This window comes from Homo sapiens, chromosome 2 (genome assembly GCF_000001405.40).
Source record: "Homo sapiens chromosome 2, GRCh38.p14 Primary Assembly".
Taxonomy (NCBI): Eukaryota; Metazoa; Chordata; class Mammalia; order Primates; family Hominidae; genus Homo; species Homo sapiens.
Genome location: NC_000002.12, coordinates 155383336 through 155405457, shown reverse-complemented (window position 1 = coordinate 155405457; position 22122 = coordinate 155383336). Strand labels below are relative to the sequence as shown.

General features: G+C 34.6%; 1 long non-coding RNA gene across 1 annotated transcript in view; it reads right to left on the bottom strand.

The window, feature by feature from the left end:
* LOC105373699 (uncharacterized) overlaps positions 1–22122 on the bottom strand; it is a 54578-nt gene that overhangs the window by 12529 nt on the left and 19927 nt on the right. The window contains exon 2 of the long non-coding RNA XR_923496.2: positions 1130–1192. This is a non-coding gene — a long non-coding RNA (uncharacterized LOC105373699). The remainder of the gene's footprint in view (positions 1–1129; positions 1193–22122) is intronic.

Genomic DNA, 22122 nt, shown 5'->3' with positions numbered 1-22122 from the left:
GCTTTAGGTGGGCACCACATGCAGGGTTTTCCCTCCAGAACATACTATGAGCTTTATAAGAACAGCCATGAACTGTAATGTGAACTGGATGCCAGGTTGGCCTTTTATACCTTAGCCAGTTGAGTACAATAAGGGAAGAATTTAGCATATGAAAAGAAGGTTTAAGTTGCCTGAAACATGTGAGAGTTTGCTCTGAGTTGCACCACACTTAAGGATCAGGGACCTTGTGCAAGTAGAAAAGATTGAAAAAAAAAAGACCCTTCTCCCTTTGGGGGGGCAATTATTCCATTTCATTCCTAAACCTTCAGGCAGTACCAGGAAGTGACCCCAGCCAATTGCCCTCAGTTTCCAAGGAGCTACTAATAAACGGCTGCTGAAAGACTGAAAAAGAAATAGAAGAAAATAAAAATGAAAAACACCCTGGTCCCTTAAGTGAACTGGGTGGTGGTGGTCAGGCTTGTCCACATGGAAACACCTTACTTTCACTGGCCATGGCCAGAAACCTGCAGTTGCTTCCATGTTTAGGTGCTGCCCACCAAGCGTCCTGCTGGAAGTAAAGCTCAGAGTCACAAAGAAAACAAGCACTTAAACAAAGGATTTCTCAGCAAGGCAAATTTACTTCTGCAGAAGGGTGCATCTCACAGGTCTGGTCGCCATGATAGCATCCCAAACAAAGGAGGGAAGGGATTTTTATCCCTAATGTGGCTTGTCCCTGCTACTGTGTCCTGCCTCCACTGGTTGGAGTTGGACTGCACAATCTAAGCTGAACCCAGTTGGCTAACTTGAAAAGTGCAGGAATGTGGTTACACTGGCAGGAAGGACAGGTTTGGCGGGAAGAGGTGTTGTGAAGGGAGGGGTAATTTACAGAGTGAGTAGCAGATATGGGCTCTGTAGATAAAGACCAGAGGGGGAGAGTTGTTTACTGAAACCAAGACAGGGAGGCACAGAGAGCAAGGAAGTTTGGCCTTGAAAGTAGAGAAAAAAGAACAAGGAAACTAAACTAGCTAAACCTTTGAAGAAGAACTTCTTACTGTATTTAACAGGTCCCAAGTTGGAAAGGAAAAGAGAGAGATAGAGCCACTGTATGGAGCAGAAAGGGAGAAAAATAAATCCCAAATTTTGGGCTTACCTCTTCCTCCTGGCTGGCTCACCAAAATATGTCACTGGTAGAAGGTGTCCATGTTCTTGGCATCTTGAAGAACAGGACAAAATGCACAAACAAAACAAGGAAGGAACAAAGGGTTTTATTGAAAATGAAAGTACACTCCACAGTTTGAGAGTGGGCCTGAGCATAGGTGATCAAAGGCCCTGTTTCAGATTTTTTGGGAGTTTAGATACCCGCTGGAGGATTCCATTTGTTTCTTGGGTATGCCTTATGTAAATGGAGAGGATGAAGTAAAGTTATAAAGTCATTTATGGCAAACATCCTATGGAGAGGATATTTCCTGCTATAGCTGAAGTATGAATTGGCCTTATGTTCCCTGCCTCCAGACCCTATTTTTCTACCTCAATTTTACTTAATGTTCTAAATATTTTACTATTTTAAAAAAATGCTCCAGCAGATTTTTCAATGACCACAAATACTTTTTGAAAGCTCAATTTGATATCGATATTGATATTGATATTAGCTAATCTATCAGTTATGTTTTTCCCGCTTCATAGTCTCCCACTTGCTTTGACATCTAATCTGGCCTGGTTGAATTTTAGATGCAGACCATCGCTGTCATCTTCATACTGCCTTTTTCTTGCTCTATGTTGGCTCCTCTGTTTCTTGAATCTGATGTCTTTCCCTTGGTTTACTTTTCATTTTCAAAAGAAGATTCTCCAATACTTGCCAAGAAAAAGAGGACCTTGTTTTTTTTTTAAAAGTAAGCCTCAATTCTATTCTTACATTTGTTTGACAACCAAATATAAAATTCTGAGTTACATTTCTTTCATAATTTTAAAGGAATTTCTTCACAGTAAACTATCAATAAGGTTACTTTTGAAAAGTCTGATGCAATTTGTATTCCATTTTTATTTCTACTTCTCTCTGCCTGTGTCTTCTGGCATTCATTCTCTCTCTCTCTCTCTCTCTCTCTCTGTGTTGTGTTTGTTGCCTTCTCTTTTTATCTTCCCCTTCCTTTCTCCCCAAACATGCCCCATTTCTGGATGTTTTCAGTACATCCTCTCAGTTTTTATTATTGAAACTTTCAAACATGTAGAAAAAACAGTATGAAGGACCTTCATATCCCTTACATACATATCCCCCAGCTCCAAGAATCAATACACACCAATCTTACTTCATCCTTCCATATCTCCTTCACTACTACATACTCAGCATTCACACTAAATTTTCCTTGAGAAAATACTCAACTTTATATCATTTCATGAATTAGTATGCATCTCTAAAATAAAAGGACTCTTTTCTTCCTTTTTTTCTGTAAAGAAGGTGTAAAAAGAAGCCTAAGGATCCAACAATTTAGTGTTTGAAACATTAAGATAATTCCTTTAAAAAGATCAGAATTTGTTTCTCTTTAATGTAAATTAAATCTACAGGTAGACAGTCCAGGCCACATTTGGTAATTCACAAAACATCAGAGACCTAAGTCCCTGTCAGTGTCCTGGCCTGTCCTTTCAGCCCACTCTAGAGATTCACACAATTCCTGTAAAAACTGACTGCTTCCTATATGCCTCCCAGCCTGAAGGCATTCTGAGGACCTTCCCTCTAAGTCATTGGTTTATATCCATATGGCACAGAATGACTACTGAAAGAAGTCCTAAATTCATGCTGTGTTCCAAGTACAACCATGGAGAAAGGAGACAGAAGATTGTAACATCTTTCTTTTGAAGAAACAGAAATACAACAAACATTTCTACCACACTTGTATTGACTAAACATAGTGAGAAGATCAGAACTAACTAGAAGAGAAGCAAGAAAATGTAGATAGATGCTAGTTAGATGGTGATGAATACATGCATGTGTACCTACATATGAATATAGACATATGGGCACAAACACACACATAATATTTGTATATTTAATACCTATATACTTCAATGGCCAAACTTCCATAAATTGGAAGTACACAAAATGGATTTGTATATATTTTTTAAAATTATATTTTTAAAGTGTCTTAGTCATTTTCTGTTGCTTATAACAGAATACCTGGAAAAGAGTTATTTACACATAAAAGCCATTTATTTCTTACAGTTATGGAGACTGAGAAGTTCAACATCAGGAGGTCACATCTGGTGAAAGTCTTCTTGCTGGTCGGGACTCTGCAGAATAGCCAGGTAGCACAGAGTATCACATGACGAGAGGCTTGAGCATGGAAGCTCAGGTCTCTGTTCCTCTTCTTATAAAACTTCCAGTCCCAATCCCATGATAACTCACTAATCCATTAACCAATTAATCCATCAATCTATTAATCTATGAATGAATTAATTCACTCTTGAGGGCAGAACCCTCATGACTCAATCACCTCTTAAAAGGCCTCACTTCTCAATACTGCCACATTGGGGGTTAAATTTCACATGAGTTTTGGAGGGGACAGATATTAAACCATAGCATAAAGTATTTAATAAAACTCAAAATGTTAAGGCTATAAACTTAACCTGAGAGAAGTGATTTCCTGTGTGTCTTTCCTTTCACAAAGTTATTGCAACACCAGATGCATAGTTGTAAAATGCTTCAAGCCTGGAGGTTGTCAATCAAATCAACTCTTCCTTTGCCTACATACTCACTCACTATTTATACCAACTGTGTCAATCACCTATTGCAATAATAAAGTTACTGGAATGCTTATGTTGGTATTTTGCATGTACAAGATTATATACTTATTTTCTTCATGGGATATCTTGATACTGCCTTCAATATGTGAAAAATGTCAATCAGCATTGATAAAATTTCAGTGTCTTTGCTCAAGCTTTTTGGATTCTGACTCAAACATTTGAGGATCCTCAATTTTAGGGTACTTTATTGGAGAAGACACAAGGGAAGATACTTGGCCCATATTTCTCTTTCTAATTTGACATTTTAGTCCCAGAGCCTCAAATAGACTAAAACATAACTTAAAATTATTTATAATCACTTGGGAATGCTTAGTAACAAAGGCAGTGTACAGCACTTGGAAATAGGGTGATTTCTTTAAAGCTAAGTTAACATCTGTCTTTCGAAATAAAAAAAAGAGAAGGAGATAGCTGCAATGCAATTTCAGAAATAGCAGAAATCAATGCCTAATTGTTGCAGCCCACACGCAGATAACAATTGCCACTGAAAGCCTAATCTTCTTGTGTTTAAGACATTTCAAACATTGCTTTTTTTTTTCCTAATGTTTTCCTGAATAAACATTGGAAAGAGGCCCTGCTCAAATTAAAACAAATTCTCTCTATGTCCATTATTTTTCTTTTCATTTCATCAGTGTTAGTTTTTCACAGGTTGACTACAGCTCTCATACCTAATGGTGGGTTATAATGCTTGAAAAAAATAATGTAAGCCAAAGTGATAAAAATCATGTTGATTTATATTACAAATAAATAACACTAGGGGCTGAGGTCCAAATTTTAACACTTAAAAACATATTTTATCAGCTATAAATTGCATAACAATTTAGCATGAAGCAGCTTTCTAAATTTAAACTGAATATGTAAAAGTATATATAACTTCAATAAGGTAATAAGTTAAATGCTATACATTTGCTTTTAAATCATGACACAACAGTTTATTGTTTATACTTACTGTGTTCTTTATAATTCCTGTCTTATCTTCGTAATGCTGACTAACCTGAGAAAGCCTGGTTGCTTTTTCTTATACTTCAAGTACAATTCAGATAAGATATAAGGACATTTATTGCTCTTCTGAAAATTAGTTCAGTTTTGCATATCTTGTGGTCTCTTTCCTTCATTGCTAATTTCAACAATTCTGTAGATGTTAGTACTCAAGTTATTTTTTTATGCTGCTGCCTTCTGAAAAGATCCTTTTTCTTTCATGAGTTCAGTTATACCCATATCTTCAATTAATGTTACTCATAGAACAAAAATACATCACCATTGACATATAAGTACAATGATAATTGATTTCCCATAATATTAACATTTTCTTCACTACTAGGGAATTGTTTTTGTAGGAGCTAAGTCATTTAGATCCAGAAGGGAGGCCCTAAAATCATTCTGTTTAACAGATGAAATGATAAAATGCTTTCTAGGCCATTAGAATTAGACAATGGTAAATTACTTGGTTGATTCACAAAGTAACTTTCAAGTTTCCCAGGAACATAGGTTACATAGCCAAATAAGCTAAGGAAACCACTATATCCTAAATCCCTGAAGCATCCTCTCCATTTCAAAGTACATTAGCATAATCAAAAACTCTAAAACATGTAGTAGTACTTTTAAAACCTAATTTTTCCCTCTTTTATAACTACCTCTATGACTCTATATTGGGAAAGTATAGAATGCGAAAATATAGCTCAGCTGCTCTGGAGATTTCTAATGTTTTACAAATGCCCAACGCAAATTAATACTCTATAATAGTTTTAATTTTTACAGCAGTGTTCTAATAATATCTTATATTTTGTTGCTTGGCATCCATTACAATGTAGTATACCAATTCCATTACAAATGTATAGTTAAATTGAATTTAAGCACAATTTTCTATCTTTGCTGATATAAAATTAGTAACTTTATATTCACTAACAACCCTAGTGCTTTTAAAATATGAAATGCTTTTCCATTATCCTTTCAACAAAAAAAGATATTTCACCAGCCAGGCCTGGTGGCTCAGGCCTGTAATCCTTGCACTTTGAGAGGCCAAGGCAGGAGTATTGTTTTGGGCCAGGAGTTCAAGACTCACCTGGGCATTATATCAAGACCCGATCTCTACAAATAATAAAAAAGTTAGCTGGGCATGGTAGCACATGCCTGTGGGCCCGGGTAGTAGGGAGCCTGAAGTGGGAAGATTGGTTGAACTTAGTCAGTGGAGGCTACAGTGAGCCTTGATCACGCCACTGCACTCCAGCCTGGGTGACAGAATGAGACCTTGTCTCAAAAAAAAAATCTATATATATTTATATCAATATATATCAATATAGATATAGATATCAGCAATCATATAGTTTTCTAATTATAAAATGCAAAGAAAAGCATAATAATATACTCAGAAATAGAGGAGCTAAATAAAATTTAAATTAATGAAATGTAATGGGATGGGGATAATGATCAGGAGTAGAAGGAGGGACATGCATCTTTTACATTGAAGGACTTCAGAACATGTGAGTGACACATTGTTATATTACAAAGGAAAAAACAAGATAGGTAGAAAAAGAAAGAAAGGAGAGAGAGAGAAGGGAAAGGTAATGCTACAATTTCTCACTTACTTAAAAAAAAAAAAAGAGTTTCATTTTGGTCTGTTTTCTGTGTCAGCATCCTAGCATAATAAGGAAGTATCCTTATTTATCTGCTAAATAATGAATGTGAAAAATCATATATTTTTCTTAAAATTTCACTAGAAATTCAAAGGTTACTTCTTACCTGTCTGGTAAGACTAATAATATACCCACCCATTTCTTTGAATTATGCCCAGATACTAGGGGAATAGACCTTGTAAATAGCATAGATATTCTGGGATTTTTTTTAGTTAAGCTAAAATAACTCTCTTGATTTTTCTTACTTGTGTGTCCAATTCATTAGCTTAGATTAAGAAGCTCAGTGTTTGAAGGATATGGAAACATGATTCCCTTACATGTCTGCTATCTTCTGAATCTTAACTGTATGTGCATATAGTCATTTTGCAAAATTTCTCATTTGGTGTCCTTTACATAAAGACTTTGGATTAATTCAAGAAACAGACAGTATGATGTATATAAAAATGTGAACAATAGCCAATAATTTTTAACAGTGTAATTATTAAGGCCTTTAAATATATGTTCAAAACACGGCTGTTTATTAAGTGCATACTGCTAGACTGCATAAGAAATTTAGTTTTAAAAAATTATGGGTTAAAGGGTATGCATACTATCAATAAATAGATTTGTTTGCTAAATATATGACCTATACTTATCTACTTAAATATAATTTGATTATGTTTAATAAAAACAAAATTAAGATTCTTCATACCAATTAGTATGCCTACAATTAAATTCATGTGACCCAATTCAATAACTTGCTTATAGTTCCCATTATTTGATCAACTGACTTCCATAACCTGGTAGAATTACCAGAAGATATCTTACATTGACAACATAAAGACAAACACATACACACACACACAGACACACACACACAACTCACATGGCAGTTTAAGTCAGAATTACTGCCAAGTTGCTAGTGACAGCAACAGTTGGTCAGTATTTAGTTTTAGAAATAGTCATAATGGGAATTATACAGGAAAAAGTGTTAATATCTTTATAATACAGATTTTAAAGATGGATTAAGAATTTTTAGAAATATCTTAGAAACAGCTTCCTTTTTAAGATAAAAATGTATAAATATTAGATAAAAAACAAATAAAAGACACAGAATCATCCTTTAAAGATTAGTTGCAAAATCGTAAACTGTACGTATGTGTAGGAAAGAATTTAATCTTGCACCAAATGAGATCTGGCCTTTGCCCTCAGTTCCTGATCAGTAATCTTGGTTTGCCTGGGGGCCTCAAGCTAGCCAAAAAATAACAGTATGACTTCAGATAGAAGCTTTGTGCCACATAGGATCAGTTGACCTGAGGACTGAGATCAACCATACGGGCAATCTATTAATGAATCATGCTTGTATAATGGACTTCCAATAAAAACTCCATGCACTGAGGTTCAGGTGAGCTTCCTTCTTGACAGTACTTTGTGTGCACTGTCATATACTGATGCTCAGAAAGTAATGTATTTTGATTTGTTGGGGAGAGGACAATGTATTTAGTATTTTCTGTACTCCACTCTATGCACCTCTTCTCTTGGCTGATTTAATCAGTATCTTTTCATGTAATAAACCACAACTATGACTATAATAGCTTTCAATGAGTTCGGAGAGTCCTTCTAGTGACTGACCAAAACAGGGTGGTTTGGGAAATTTCCAATCCTCCAATTGATGTTGGAAGAGAGAAGGATCTTGTGTGGATTTTTTTCTCTAACTATACAGTAGCCAGCACTCTCACAGTTAGTGTCAAAAGTGAGTGTGCAGTCTGTGAACGTTGTTCTCTTTAACTTTGTAGTCAGCAAAAGTGTTCACAGCATGTATCAATCTTTTGAAATGTGGTGTGTCTTTTTTTTTTTTTCTTGAGACGGAGTCTCCCTCTGTCACCCGGGCTTGAGTGCGGTGGTGAGATCTCGGCTCACTGCAACCTCTGCCTCCCAGGTTCAAGAGATTATCTTGCCTCAGCCTCCCGAGTAGCTGGGATTATTGGGGCCTGCCACCACATCTGGCTAATTTTTTTGTATTTTTAGTAGAGATGTGGTTTCACTATGTTGGCCAGGCTGGTCTCGAACTCCTGACCTCACGATCCACCCATCTCGGCCTCCCAAAGTGCTGGGATACAGGCGTGAGCCACCGCGCCTGGTTAATGTGTCATTTTTAAAAGCATAATCATGTAATTTAACATCAATGGAATTAATCCCTGATGAAAAACTGGTCCTTGCTGTAGCATAAATCCATAAAATAGTCATGGATAGTAAGAACCATAGATATGTCAACTTGCCGGGTGCAGTGACTACTTGCTTTGGCATGAGACAAGCTAGAGGCTGCTGCTTTTTGTCATTTGGGCTTAGGGTGTCAGCATACTCAGTGTCTTAACTAGAGGAAATAGACTCCCAGAGGACCTCGCTAATTAAACAGAATATTGTCAGTGTACATAATAGAAATTTTGCATGTTCCTAATCAGCAATTAGAGAGTTCCTGACAAATGTAAGGAAGAGATTGATCAAGTTCCAGAAGTGTAGACTGAACATATTCTGGCATAGGTATGTCCAGATAAGGAAAAATGTGTCATAAACATGATTCAAATGGGCAAGTCCGTCGTTGTCTCAGAAGCACAGAGCGGGACCTCTTTTGACTATCAAGATGGTAAGTATTCACCTTGTGTTCCATTTTATGCCTGAGTCATCACCTCAAGAGGACACAAATGTTCTCATTCTATTTCACTTGAAAATATATTTTAAAAAATTTAATGTTTTAGAAAAATATTTCAATTAATAACTCCAATGGCTTTAATCATGACCCTAATTTTGATTAAACTCTATGTGAAAGTGCATCTGACTACTGTAACCACCAAAATCTTCTTATCCCTCCACAGTAATGTAATGGGTGGGCTCAATTACTGTAGTCTACAAGGAAAGACTTCTATTCAATAAAATCTTCAATTTTTTTTTTCTAAATATACATGTACATACATAACATAGAAATTCTTACTACATAAAATATTTAATTAAAATTATTATTAATAACATTTTGTTTTCCTTCTGTAAACAACTTAGATGGGAATAACACACAAGAGAAAATGCCACTTCCCCCGTTGTTAGTACCTTATAGCTGCCTGTCTGTTGATAATTATAATTGGGAATTAGTTTTCTTTTTAATCCTACTTTAGAAGTAAGTAGACATATCATAGGGATAACTGGTATTTTAAAAAATATAATAGTGGGATAGGCCAGGCTAGGCTGCATTAATAAACAAACCAGGTTCTCAGTTAAGACACAAAAAGTTATTTCCCATTCAGGCTACATATTCAAAGAAGGTCAGGGCAGAGATTGTCATCAAGTATCCAATATGACAAAGTCTCCACCATCTTGAATGACACCATCTGGATCACTCACTACCCATCATAATAGTAAGTATTTTTTAAAAAGATTTGCTTATTATCAACCATAAATTGGACATATAAGATATAATAGAAAGGTAACTTTCAGAAAGTACTGAAAGTTAAATTGTAAGTCTGTATTACAGACTGCCCAGCTAAAGAAAAGGTTTAATTCAATTGGAGAGGGAACACGAAGTGCATATAAATGCTTTCTTTTAACCCTTTTTTAGTGATAGAAGTCTAAGATAAATTTTTATCAACTGCACTACAGAAAACCTATCCATTGCAAGACATGGAAGCTTAAAACAATAAACCATTCCCATAATAATATAATAATATGAACATTCAAGTCAAATTTAGGCATTTTAAAAAGTGGTATTTCGGAAACTGGCAGGAAAAACAAACAACAACAAAAAAAAAACAGATCACTGAGAATAGTACTAACGGGGATCCTCACCAAAGACAAAAGAGAAAACAGAGAACGCTGGCAGGTTGTAAACAAATATACAAAATCAAGCATGTATATAGGTGATTTCTGAATATTATAGGCCTACTGGTTTTCCCACTGTCTCCAAAATGTATCATTCTAAATCATGTTGTTGTAACTCCACATTGATTCATATGTTCCAATTATCAGCTTCAGGGTGGTAATAGAGGACCTAGGGAAAGTCTCACTCAAGGACTCTACTAGTTGGCCGGAAATTGCAGGAGTCTAGTAAACCTGAGTACTTTGATTATTCCTTCTGCTCTCTACATTCTTTGGTAGGGTTCACCTTGAATAGTGAGTGCAAAAGAGATTGTGGGATTATTTGACTAATATCTGTCTTTGCTGGACTGGGGGCATTGTGAGGGCAAAGCAATGTCTGGGTTGCTTACCACTTTATCTCCAATGTCTGCTGTGTATTGTGTTTAGAGTTACTGTTCAATAAATATTTTATGAGTGAATAATTGAAAAGTTAATGTTTACATGAAGTTTTCAGATTTAGAGAAAGTGAAAAAAGGGATATGTTCTAATTCAGGTGAATTTTATATCGTTTAAAAATATGTACTGGAAAATACTTTCAAATATACCCAGATTTGCTGAAAGGAGAAATAAAAAATTAAATACAAGAGATCATAATATTTAAACTTATAGATTATATGCTGTAATACCTGAAGAATATAAATATATGAAACATTCACTTTCAGATTTGTATTTTTCCCAAAGAAAAAGCCACATCAAGTATATTTTGTATATGTTTAATTAATGATGTGTTTGAACAGTTCCATTGGGGAGCAAATATAATATTTGGTAATATAATTGCCTGAAGCACAAAAATTTGAATTATTAAGATTGGTTATTTTATATAAGGTTCTTCAGATAGTTTCCGTTTACAATATTTTTCTTAGAAAGTTCTATCAGAAATGATTTTCTGCCCCTTGAAAGCTTACATCTTACTTATAACTCTCTCCGATACATGGAGGACTGGATAAACAAGAATAAGTGAAATACACATATCCCTAGTGTGATTTTAGCAATTAGCTTCGAACTCTTCCACACCAATTTTTATGGAAAATTCTTGCAAGTAATAATATCTACTGATTTAAGTTTTCACACCTTTTCCCTTCCCCTGCCAATCTCACTAACAAGCAAGGAGTAGAAATACTAACAAGGTGATAACTGTCCAAAAGGTGGACAGCAGGAAGAAGAAGAAGGGAGGCAAAAGCCTTGAATAATTGACAACCTAGATAATCAGCCCCCGCATAATTACAATCTTACTGTATTCTACATGTAATTTAGAAATGAGTCACATTATTATGGGTAGAGGTGGTTTAGGTATTAAACTGAATATTGGCATGTTAACAGTCGTAATACATTTGTGATTACAATAGTAATTTTTTCTTTATAATTTGAATATTTATTTTTTCTTCCAAAAGATTTAGTGCCCATTGGACTGTTGTATAAAAGTTAAGCTAAGGTAATCTATAATTCTTTCCTTGCATTTAACAAGAAGTACATGAAAGATATTTAACAATCTTGCTATTTTGGCAGAAACTCAAAACAAACATATGTAACAGTTTTCAAGAGAAATATCAAGCAGGCAGTGCCAAATCAAGGCATTATATTTAGTTTGCTGTAAATAATATGGTGTTTGCACATACTCCATTCTGAGACTGGTCCTGTGTACTTTCTAAAATTAGTAGAATACAGGACAACACCTTTCTTGGAAGCCAATCATAACTCATTTTCTGATTGAAAACTGTGTCCAAAGCAAATGTAGATAAAAAACCAATCCCTTCAAATTAGAGCTAACCAAAGACAGTGATACATAAGTAAAAGTATTTAAGTTATTGAGTAAAATTTATCCATGATATAAATATGTGAAAATTACAGTGCCTTAAAAATAGTCTGTTCCCATGCTTTTTGAAGACATTATCTGAGGTATATTTTTGGGGAACATTTCATACATAAAATGAAAGACCCATTGATTAACAGGAGAATCTGCTCAAACAGGAGCATGTGCATCAGAATTTCTTTTTTCCATCAGTGAAAATGGAATTTACCTAATGTTTGGTATTTTTTTACACATTAAGAAAGGCATACTCTTAGAGTTTGAAAGAGTCCATTTATGTGAAATTATCCTAATAATTTTGTGTGTGTTTTCATTGAATTTTCTCAAATTAATTCAGAGATTAAAGATTGGAAGTATACTGAGGGTCAGCTAAGAAAAGACAGTTAAAGAGAGAACTGAAAGTTGAATCATAAGGATCTATATTACAGCCTGCCCATCTGTATGAAAAAAATGTTAATTCAACTGGAGAGAGAACACAAAACTGACAACAGAAGAGAAATGATAAATATTTGAGGTAATGGATATGCTAATTACCCTGATTTGATCATTACACATTGTATATATGCATGAAAATATCACTCTATATCCCAAAAATAAGTACAATTATTACATGTCAACTAAAAATAAAAGGAAAAAAGAGTAGTGACAAAAGCCAATATTTAATGAGGATGGGAGACTTCTTCACTCGCTAGTAATCTTCTCGCTGAATGAAAGCAATGTAAATATTTTCCTAGTAATAGTACATCAGCTCCTCCTCCACTTCCTCACACTTTTTCTTTTCTAAATCCATTACCTCTCTTATGTGAAAGCACCTAGCAGAATACCTTTTATATGGCATATTCTCAGTAAATGCCAGTTGCCTTCTTTTCATCTTCTGCTCTGCTCAAAACACAACTGACATATTGTGTCAGTCTTTAAAAGGAAAGTTGACAACTGAGCACATTTAGAGGAAAGTTACCATAGTCGAAATTTGTCTTGTTAACCGCCCAGCATCTGGATTATCTTCCTAACATAACCAGATATTAAAGTAGAAATTTTGACCAAAATGATAAGACATCAAAGTGACATACTAAACATAAAGGGATAGTTTCCAAGATTACGTGTGAGAACTCGTTAGATGCCCGTAAGCTATGCAACTTTATTGAATATATTAAAGGGTCAGAGTTTGTAAAGAAGGTTTTTAAGAACTTCACATGTGTTTTGAGTTCTCCTTTTTCAAAGGGGAATATAAGAATAAGCCTAGTTACCATGTCAATCCTCAGGAAACAATTCAATGAGACTACTCAGATAGCCTAAATAGAATCTCTTATGTTATTAGAAGTGGCAGAATGAAGTGGTAATAAGTGTCAAAGACAAAAAAAAATGTTATCTAACTTGATTCTGATGGGCAAACCAAAAACAGGTAGCTGGATTTGGGTGGCCTACATTCTCAGAATTTTAAAGACAAAGTTTTGTATGTGCTTCCCATAGACTAGAAGTTGGCCACATGAGAAAGAACAGTCTTCCTAAACATTTCGTTAATGTGTTTTATGACCTCTACAGGGTTGGAAAGTAGAGATATGTGAGACAGGAAAGTTCTTGTTGGACTGATAATGATGTAAGTTTCCGTTGCCATAAAACCATGTGAAAGTCTTGTAAATATTAAAAACTGCACATAATTGTAGTTTAAAGAAGTTAAAGGCAAGCTCAAACATGTAAATGTTCAGATTATGGTACAGATTGAAACATCCAGAATTTCTATGACTATGTAAACAAATAAAAACTCTTTATTTCAATGGCAGGAATGAGATAGCCAATAACAAAATGCAAAGTTTGAGTCTATGTGTTGCTAACTTGCAATGCTAATTGAATTTAATATCTTGCCAGATTTCTTATGCTACAGAGTTTTGATTGGAACTTGAAATGGGATTTATCTGGGGATTAACCATTTTCATAATACTCTGAATTTCCACCTCCTGCCAAATTGGACACTCTTCTACTGACTGAGGCAGCATTTGATACTTGACTTGAAGATCTGGTCATGCTTTCACTTGTGAGAAGTTAAGTTCAAGGTGAAACTATTTGTTTAATTCCTGTACCATTTTTCTTTTTTCTTTTTATTTTCATAATTTTTTTTTTTTTTTAAAGACAGGGTCTCACTATATTCCCTCAGCTGGACTTCAACTCTTGGACTCAAGTGGTCCTCCTGCCTCATCTTCTCAAGTAGCTGGGACTATAGGAAAGTGCCATCACAAAGGCTACATTTCTCCATTTTTAAGAGACATATCCAGACCCAAATCCCAGCAACCTATAGAGGACAAATTATAATGTCAAATTCAGAAGAGAAGGATTACATACCAAAATAATTTCAGATTTGTTTAATTAACTAGAAAAAACATTGAAGACCATGTGTATGAATGAATGCTAGACCAAAAAGCTAAGAAAATAATTTTATAACATTATGAAATAAATATTAAATTACACTGTCCAGGCATTCTGTATGCAATAACCTAACTTAAATAGCTGAGAATGGTTCCAAATGTTTGGTCAATTTATTGAAACCTGGATTCAATAGTGATCAATAATAAATGAGATTGAAATAATAGAAATTCCTTAATAAGATGTAGAAGAAATAAAAGTTTTAAGGAAATTGAAATAATTGAATCAATTTCTCAATTTTAACCATACAAACACCCCCTACTAATGACAAGAGGCCCAGAAGACACATTTTTTTATATATTGTCCTTGAAAAACACACTAATTAGAGAAACTACATGAGGTTTGTTTAGTGGTTTTGTTTTTGAACACTTTACTGGATGCTCTCTGTAGGCTAGAAAGGGCTTCCTGATTTCAGTAGGTCTACCCCATTGAGTGTTCTCAATTCTAAGACTTGAATCAACTTAAATGGCAAGAGTACCTTAAATGAAGAGGCTGGGTAAAGGACACCAAAATAACATCACAGTTGTGTTCTATAACCTTTCCATTAGTATTCCTAAAAGGTATCTATCTATCTATTGCTTTTTATTAGGTAGCTTAGAATTGAAGAAGGAAAACACTCAGAATTTTGGCTTTGAGTTACTTCTGATTTCTGGGGAGCCAGACATTGACTGTGAAAGCCATATATCAAATTTCAGTGGTTAGCTGTTAATGGAGTTTTGCCCAGTGTTACTTATGGTAGGGCTGTCGGGTCTACAAACACATTCATGTTCATTTCTTTTAGAAATTTATGTATACTTGGAATATATAATCTTTGCAAATGGAAGAATTTCTACATTGGTTCCCTAACCCATGAAGTGATGTCTCTTATTGTTAAGAGTAATAATTAAAAATCACCAGATATTTGCTTTTCTAACAATATAGTAAATTTAAAAATAGATTTATAATCAATAGTAATGTTACTTTCCTCAGGTAGCATCAATTTTTCTGTTTCTGTGTACCTCATATAGTTTTTAAGGACCATTATCATCTTTATACGCCACAGAATATAACACTGTTTTACATTATTTTCACGATCATGTTTACAGAACCTGGAAAGAAAGAATTAATACATACTCTTAGATGCCTTATTTAGACATATATAGGCCAGCAGATAGGAGAAAAGACAGTAAAAATGCAGGGTTCCATAATATGGGATAATAAAAGCCAACCAAAGAAGAATTTGCTTCATTTTATCCCCCTAAGTTTTGAGACATAGGCAGTATGCTTCCTCTATGGTTTTGGAGACAATATGTATAACATCTCTATGGATGTTGTCAGTTATCAGGTAAAGTGAAAAGCTTCCATGAAAAACTCTTGCATATGCTTTAGCTGAATAAAATATAGCTTTACAGGTCAACTCCAAGGCAGCACATCTCTCTTTCATGCTGCCATCCAAATAGCTCTGCAGCCAATCTGTTATACTGAGATACTACTGGAGATAATGAGAACAACACCCTTCCTCCCTTCCTCCTCCCACATATTCACACAACTGCAGAGGAGGCATAGTCAGCTCCCAGTGTGGTCTCTATGGAGGCTCTCATGCTAAACCTGAGATAAGAGGTGGTTACCCCCACCTCTCTCCCTTGTATGATTGAGGAGAACAGGGGTACCTGCAGCATCAGCAATTCTTACGACTACTTTGGGATGTAGCATTTGTTGCAACTTGGTATGTGGGCAGAAACTTTGATGTTAACATCTTGTTGCATATATGTGAAGATTTTTAAAGCATTCCCGAAAATTTATTTAAAAACTTAAAGTAAATACATACCATTTAATAGACCCAGAATACCCCTGTACTAGATGATTCTTGTAAGATAGTAAATATTGTATTATATAATTCAGTAAAATTAGTAGAACTTTCAGAAGCATGCACATGCCTTAACAAAAATGTCTCTTTAAAAGAGTTTCCTATTACCTCTCCTAATCCCTTTTAAATTCATTCTCGAAAAAGCAATCAGCCATAGTATCAGGTCGCACACACAATCTCCCCTCAAGCCCCTGACTACAACCATTCATTGTTGTTGGAATAAAATCCAAGTTTTTTAACATAGGCTTACATGATGTGTCCCCAGCTCTGTCCCGTGTCCTGCTTCTCCTAAATAATTGTGCTCTGGCAAAATTAGTCTTTCTGTTCCTCTGACAAATAAAACCCTTTTTGATCCTTAAGATTTGGATCTATTATTTTCTTTGGAATGCTTTTATCAGCCCCATCAGTCCTTCCCCTTCTTTTGTTTGCTGTTTTATTGTCATCCTTTAGTTTTTTTGCTTAACTTTTGCTTCCAGGAAATCTCATTGAGAATGTTATCTCAGCATTCAGCATGCAATTTATTTATTTTATGGTACTTACTGCCATATATAATTATATAGGTATGTGCTTGTCTATTTAATTCATTATTTGTATACCCTACTAGACTTTAAACTCCTTAAGAGCAAAGACTACATAACTCGTACTCATCTCAGTGGCTGGCAGACAGTAAATGACTACTATATTTTACATCAAGAATTGAATGAACAAAATGTATGACAAACGCCAACTAACTGCTATTGGAAATTTTATTTAATCTCTTTGAGCTCCAGTTTTTCTTCAACTGTAAAATGTGTTTAAAACTATCTACTCTGATGGGTTGTTATGAGGGTTAAATAATATAATATGAAAAACCCTAGGATACTAGTAAGAATTGCAGTCCATCAATTCATCCCGTCATTTACACATAATTTCTTTTATTCATTTGTTTACTTGATCATTTATTCAATGAATGCTATTCAATTTTCTATGTTCCTTGCACTTTTCAAACATTGGCAATATAACAGTAAACAAGATAAAATTCTAAAGGTGAGAGACAGAAAATTAGCAAATAAGCAAGTAATATGTAGTATACCAGATAATGCTAAGTGTTATAAAGTAAAATAAAGCAGGATAACAGGATAGGGAGTTGGGTGCTTGCTGCTTTCAATAGTGTGATTAGCAAAGGGTTCTTAAAAAAAGGTAGCATTGAATCAGAGGCATAAAGAAAGTAAGATATCAAGGCATAGCATATCTTGGAGGAGTTTTGGGCCGAAAGGACAGTAAGTGAAATGCCCTGAGGTGGGAGGATGCTTCTCAAGGAACAGCAAGGAAGTCAGTGAGATGGGGGAGCAGTGACGGATGGAAGGAGTGGTTGGGGATGAGATCAGACATCAGTGGCTGACAGTGGGAGGGAAGATTACACAGGCTCTTTTAAGTCATGAGAAATATTTGAGGTTATTCTTTAAAAAATGACAAACTTTCGCAGAATTTTGAATAAATGTGTAACTTAACCTGGGATATATGTTAATGGTGTTATTCTAGTTCCTGTGTTAAGTATAGACTACCAGGTGCTAAGGGTGGAATAATCTAGGAGAGGAATAATTGGTGGTAGATAGAAAATTAAAACTGGTTGGATTTCAGATATATTTAAAAGAATTGCTAATAGAGTTGGATGTGTGATAAAGAGAAGAGTCAAGAATGGCTCAATCCTTCTTCTTGCTCAGTGGAAGAATGTCACTGCTACTTAATTTGGTGGAGAAGACTGGGGAAGGAACAGGTAGCAGTTGGGCATGGCCAAATTTAGTGCTCACTCTTGGAAAGCCTAGATATTTTAAAAATCTTGCTGTCACTGCACTGTATTGCCATTTGCGTTTTCCTATATTTTATGTGTCTCATCCATAATTATTTTTGCTAGATTGATCAGGCTACCTCAGTGATTTAACAGCTGCTCACTGCTATCAATTCAACAAATCTTCCTGAACTGGCTGATTGGATCCTTCTGAGGTGCTTTAGTACTGGGATGTGTTATACAATAACAGATAAAATAACTTTTGTAAAATTTTAGGAGGTTCACTTCTCTTCCCAGCTTCAATTTTTGACATGAGAAGTCTATTGTCATAAATACTGAAAGATTTCCAAACCAATGAAATGTGTAAGTAAGGATTGGGTTAATTTGCTAAACTGTCAGGAGTTTTAGGTTCAGCCGTCTTCTGGTTTTGTCTGAGCCTAGGTCAGCTCAATTACGTTTGTGTCCAATCACGTGCCAGGGTTATGTGTTTGATGCTTATTGCGGTTATTTTACTTTATTTTGATCAAGAAGCACAAACCAAAACCCTGACTCCAACCAACTGCCTTACAAATGCAAAGAGAACACTGCACCATCCTTCACCACAATCAGAGAAAAACCAAAACACACATACAAATTCTAGCTTAACATATGTCTTTACTTACCAAGAAAAGCACACATAAGTGGTTTGTTCCACCACCCTGTGACTCTGATCCTGGCAAGACTGTAAGAGCAGCTACCACTCAGTGAACTAACCCCTTCAGATATTGTGATTTCACTGTGATTTTAGACATTGTGACTCCAGGGGATCACAGGAATGGATGGAAAATGAAGGGATGTGGCCCAAATGATGGGGCTGGAAATATTTTCTGTGTAAATGACAAGAAATCTCATACAACAAGAACCAGTTTTTCCTTACATCAAGATATAACTTCTACAGTGCAATTTTGAGGTCGAAAATAAACCTTATATGTTTAATTTTAAGGTAAAGATTCTAAGAACATTTGACATAAGTTAGTAACCTCTTCAGAAATAAATAGGCTGGAGTGCAACACATATCATAACTTATTTTTTATTAATTGAAGTTAATGGAAAATTTTCTCGTTGTTTAGTGTGCTTGTATTTATTGTCAATAGTTATCTCCCCAATACTCATTTTCTATAAGAGCTCTGGCCAATTATCTATAATGTATTTTGGTGCCTTTGGAAATAGTAATTGATACTAATTATTTGACAGAACCACTAGAAAAACTATTTAATCATAGGGCTGCACATTCACATTGCAAAAATCTTTTGAATTCTTTACTCCACACCTTCTGCTAAATATATTTTAAGTTTATATTTTTACAGAAAAGGGTATTTGTGAAGTATTTTTTTCCTAATAAAATTTTAACTTGAATGATTTCTGTAATCTGTTGACTGGGCCTTTAAAAATTGATGTCCCAGGAGTCTGTGAAACTAAATCAGAAAAAAGGAAGCCTCACTGCCTTTTAGAATTCCAAAGGTCTGGCCCACAGCTCTATGAGGTCAGGAGGTGGGATTAACCTCTCACATTCTAGTAATGGTTTTAGAAGGACTCTCAAAATTCACATATGATTAAAAACATCCAACTGACTGGCATTCAAGAAGAATATGGAAAGTAAATTTCATTTGTTTAACAGCTCTATCTAATGGTACTATGCCAAGCCACCTCAGCCACAGCCATGGATTATAGATCCATATACCTGTCTGTCTGTCGTCTGTCATTTCTCGACCTTTCATAATGTGGCTATAGACGTTGTTTAAATTTTTGTTTCTCAAACTAGAAAAGTTCTTGATATCATCTTTTCTAATTTCCTCATTTTCTGGGGTGCTAACATACAGACAGACTGTGTGTCACATACTTACAAAATATATAGAATACTGTACTTAACTGTCTCAACAACACTAAGACTTATAATGATTATGTCAACTGAAATATCCACATTGTAAATTATGTGGAAGAAAAATATTTCACAGTTGGTTTTTATAAATTTATCAAAATAAATACCATTTTATCTTATTTGTACATTCCATTAAAAAGAAAATATCTTGGACTGTATGTTGAAGCTTTCCTCTGAGGGTCATATAGTGATACGTGATTAGAGTTATATTTATATTTTTCTTAAAAAGGTAAAATGTTCTTCTACAATTTGGCAAAAGGTTTATAGCATTGTAAAAAATACTGTATTTGGCTATCTCCAAAATTGCTTTTTGTGTTTTCAGATGGTAGATCCTGGGCGGGGGAGGCAAAACTAATTATAACATTAACTATACCTAGTATGAGTGTATGACTCAGCTAAGAAAAGTTATCTGTTTGAAGACTACACATCTTAACACATTAAAAAATGTGCTATAAAATGTATTAATTAGTCATTGTTTTACATGACCAGAGCTTTCCTCCCAGAGGGTGGATCATACAACGTTTACTCATGGTGATGAGGCCATCTGTTATCTCTTTCCATCAATACTATGAAAATGAATATGAATTATGACTGGTATAGAAAGTAATAGCTATTCTCATTTTCTCATAATTCAATATTGTTTTGTTCAGTCAGTGAGGACTTCACTGCCCTGCCCTGCCCTGGACTGCTGTGCCTTACTACCCAATGAGAACATTGATTTTTAACTAAGAGTGGGAGTAGGGGTGTGGTGAGGGCACCAAAAATCTCTGTTTAAAAATACTCATTTCTACTCTCTATCACCAGAGAATGTGATTTAGTACGCTTAGGAAAGTGTCTTGAATTCTATATTTTTGAAAAAATATTGATTTTGTTCCATGCCAAATTTAATAATGTTAGGGTATTTTAGAACAATATTGATAATGTTAGTTCACATTACTGAAGATAATATTAAAAATATATTGAAGATACATATATTATCCTTTTTCTACTGCCATTCAAGATATTATCCCAAACACTCTGTCCAGTGAATTAAGTAGTTAATACTTTAGCCCCCTTTGCTGCACCGAAGTGTTTATTTTCCCATCATAATTATATAGATATCACAACCCACAAATTATGATTTCCCATGTATGCTTAAATCATCATTGTAGTATAGTTTTTAGATTGATTCTATTAAAAACAGAAAAGTAGTAATTCAAATGAGTTTTGATACAGGAGTTCTTTTACACACCCATTTTTAAAACACCACAACCTCCATTAACTTGGGCAACAAATCATTTATCACCATACCACATTGTGTCACAAATATATTCAAGCATAAGGATTATCTGGTCCCATCTCAGACTCTCTGAAGGATAGGCAAGAAAACCTTTATCTTTAGCTAATGCCCCATGTGGTTATTATAACTAGACTACTCAGGAAAATAATGAACAAGAATATAAGTTCCTCAAGAGTGGAAATGACAAAGTGTCCAATATTATGCTACTATTTAATATTTTTTTAAATGAGAGAATCAAGAGTATATGAAAGACTGTACAAATGAAAGAAGAAATGAATGATGGGCACACAATTCCACAAGTATTAAATAAATACCTTTCTGTTAATGTAGTTAGCTAATTTAGCCCTTGATTTATTGAGCAATATTTAACACATCAAGCAAAGTAAAGCAAAACATGCAAGTGACTAATAAGGAATTTTGTGGAGGTGAGCCCTCTGAGCTGACCTAGGAACTGAAAGATGCAAAATCTTTTCATCAGTCAGCTTTGGCCTTTATAAACTAGCAGAGTAGTCAGAGAAAGACTGAGCAAAGCTGAAAACTGTAGATTACATATTTTGATCGGCATTTAAAAGATCAGTTTATCAATTACAGGACCTGTTTAGAACCATGTGTGTATGTGTGTGTATATTTGCTTACTGATCTATAGAAACATATTCATTGTTTATCAATACAAATAATTTGCAACATGAGGTTTATTTAGCTTTGTCTACATATAATCGCTATAAATCTATGGCCTCTAAAATATCTGAACTATTTTATTCTTTTTTAAATAGTGATATGTTAACACTGTGCTGGGGATT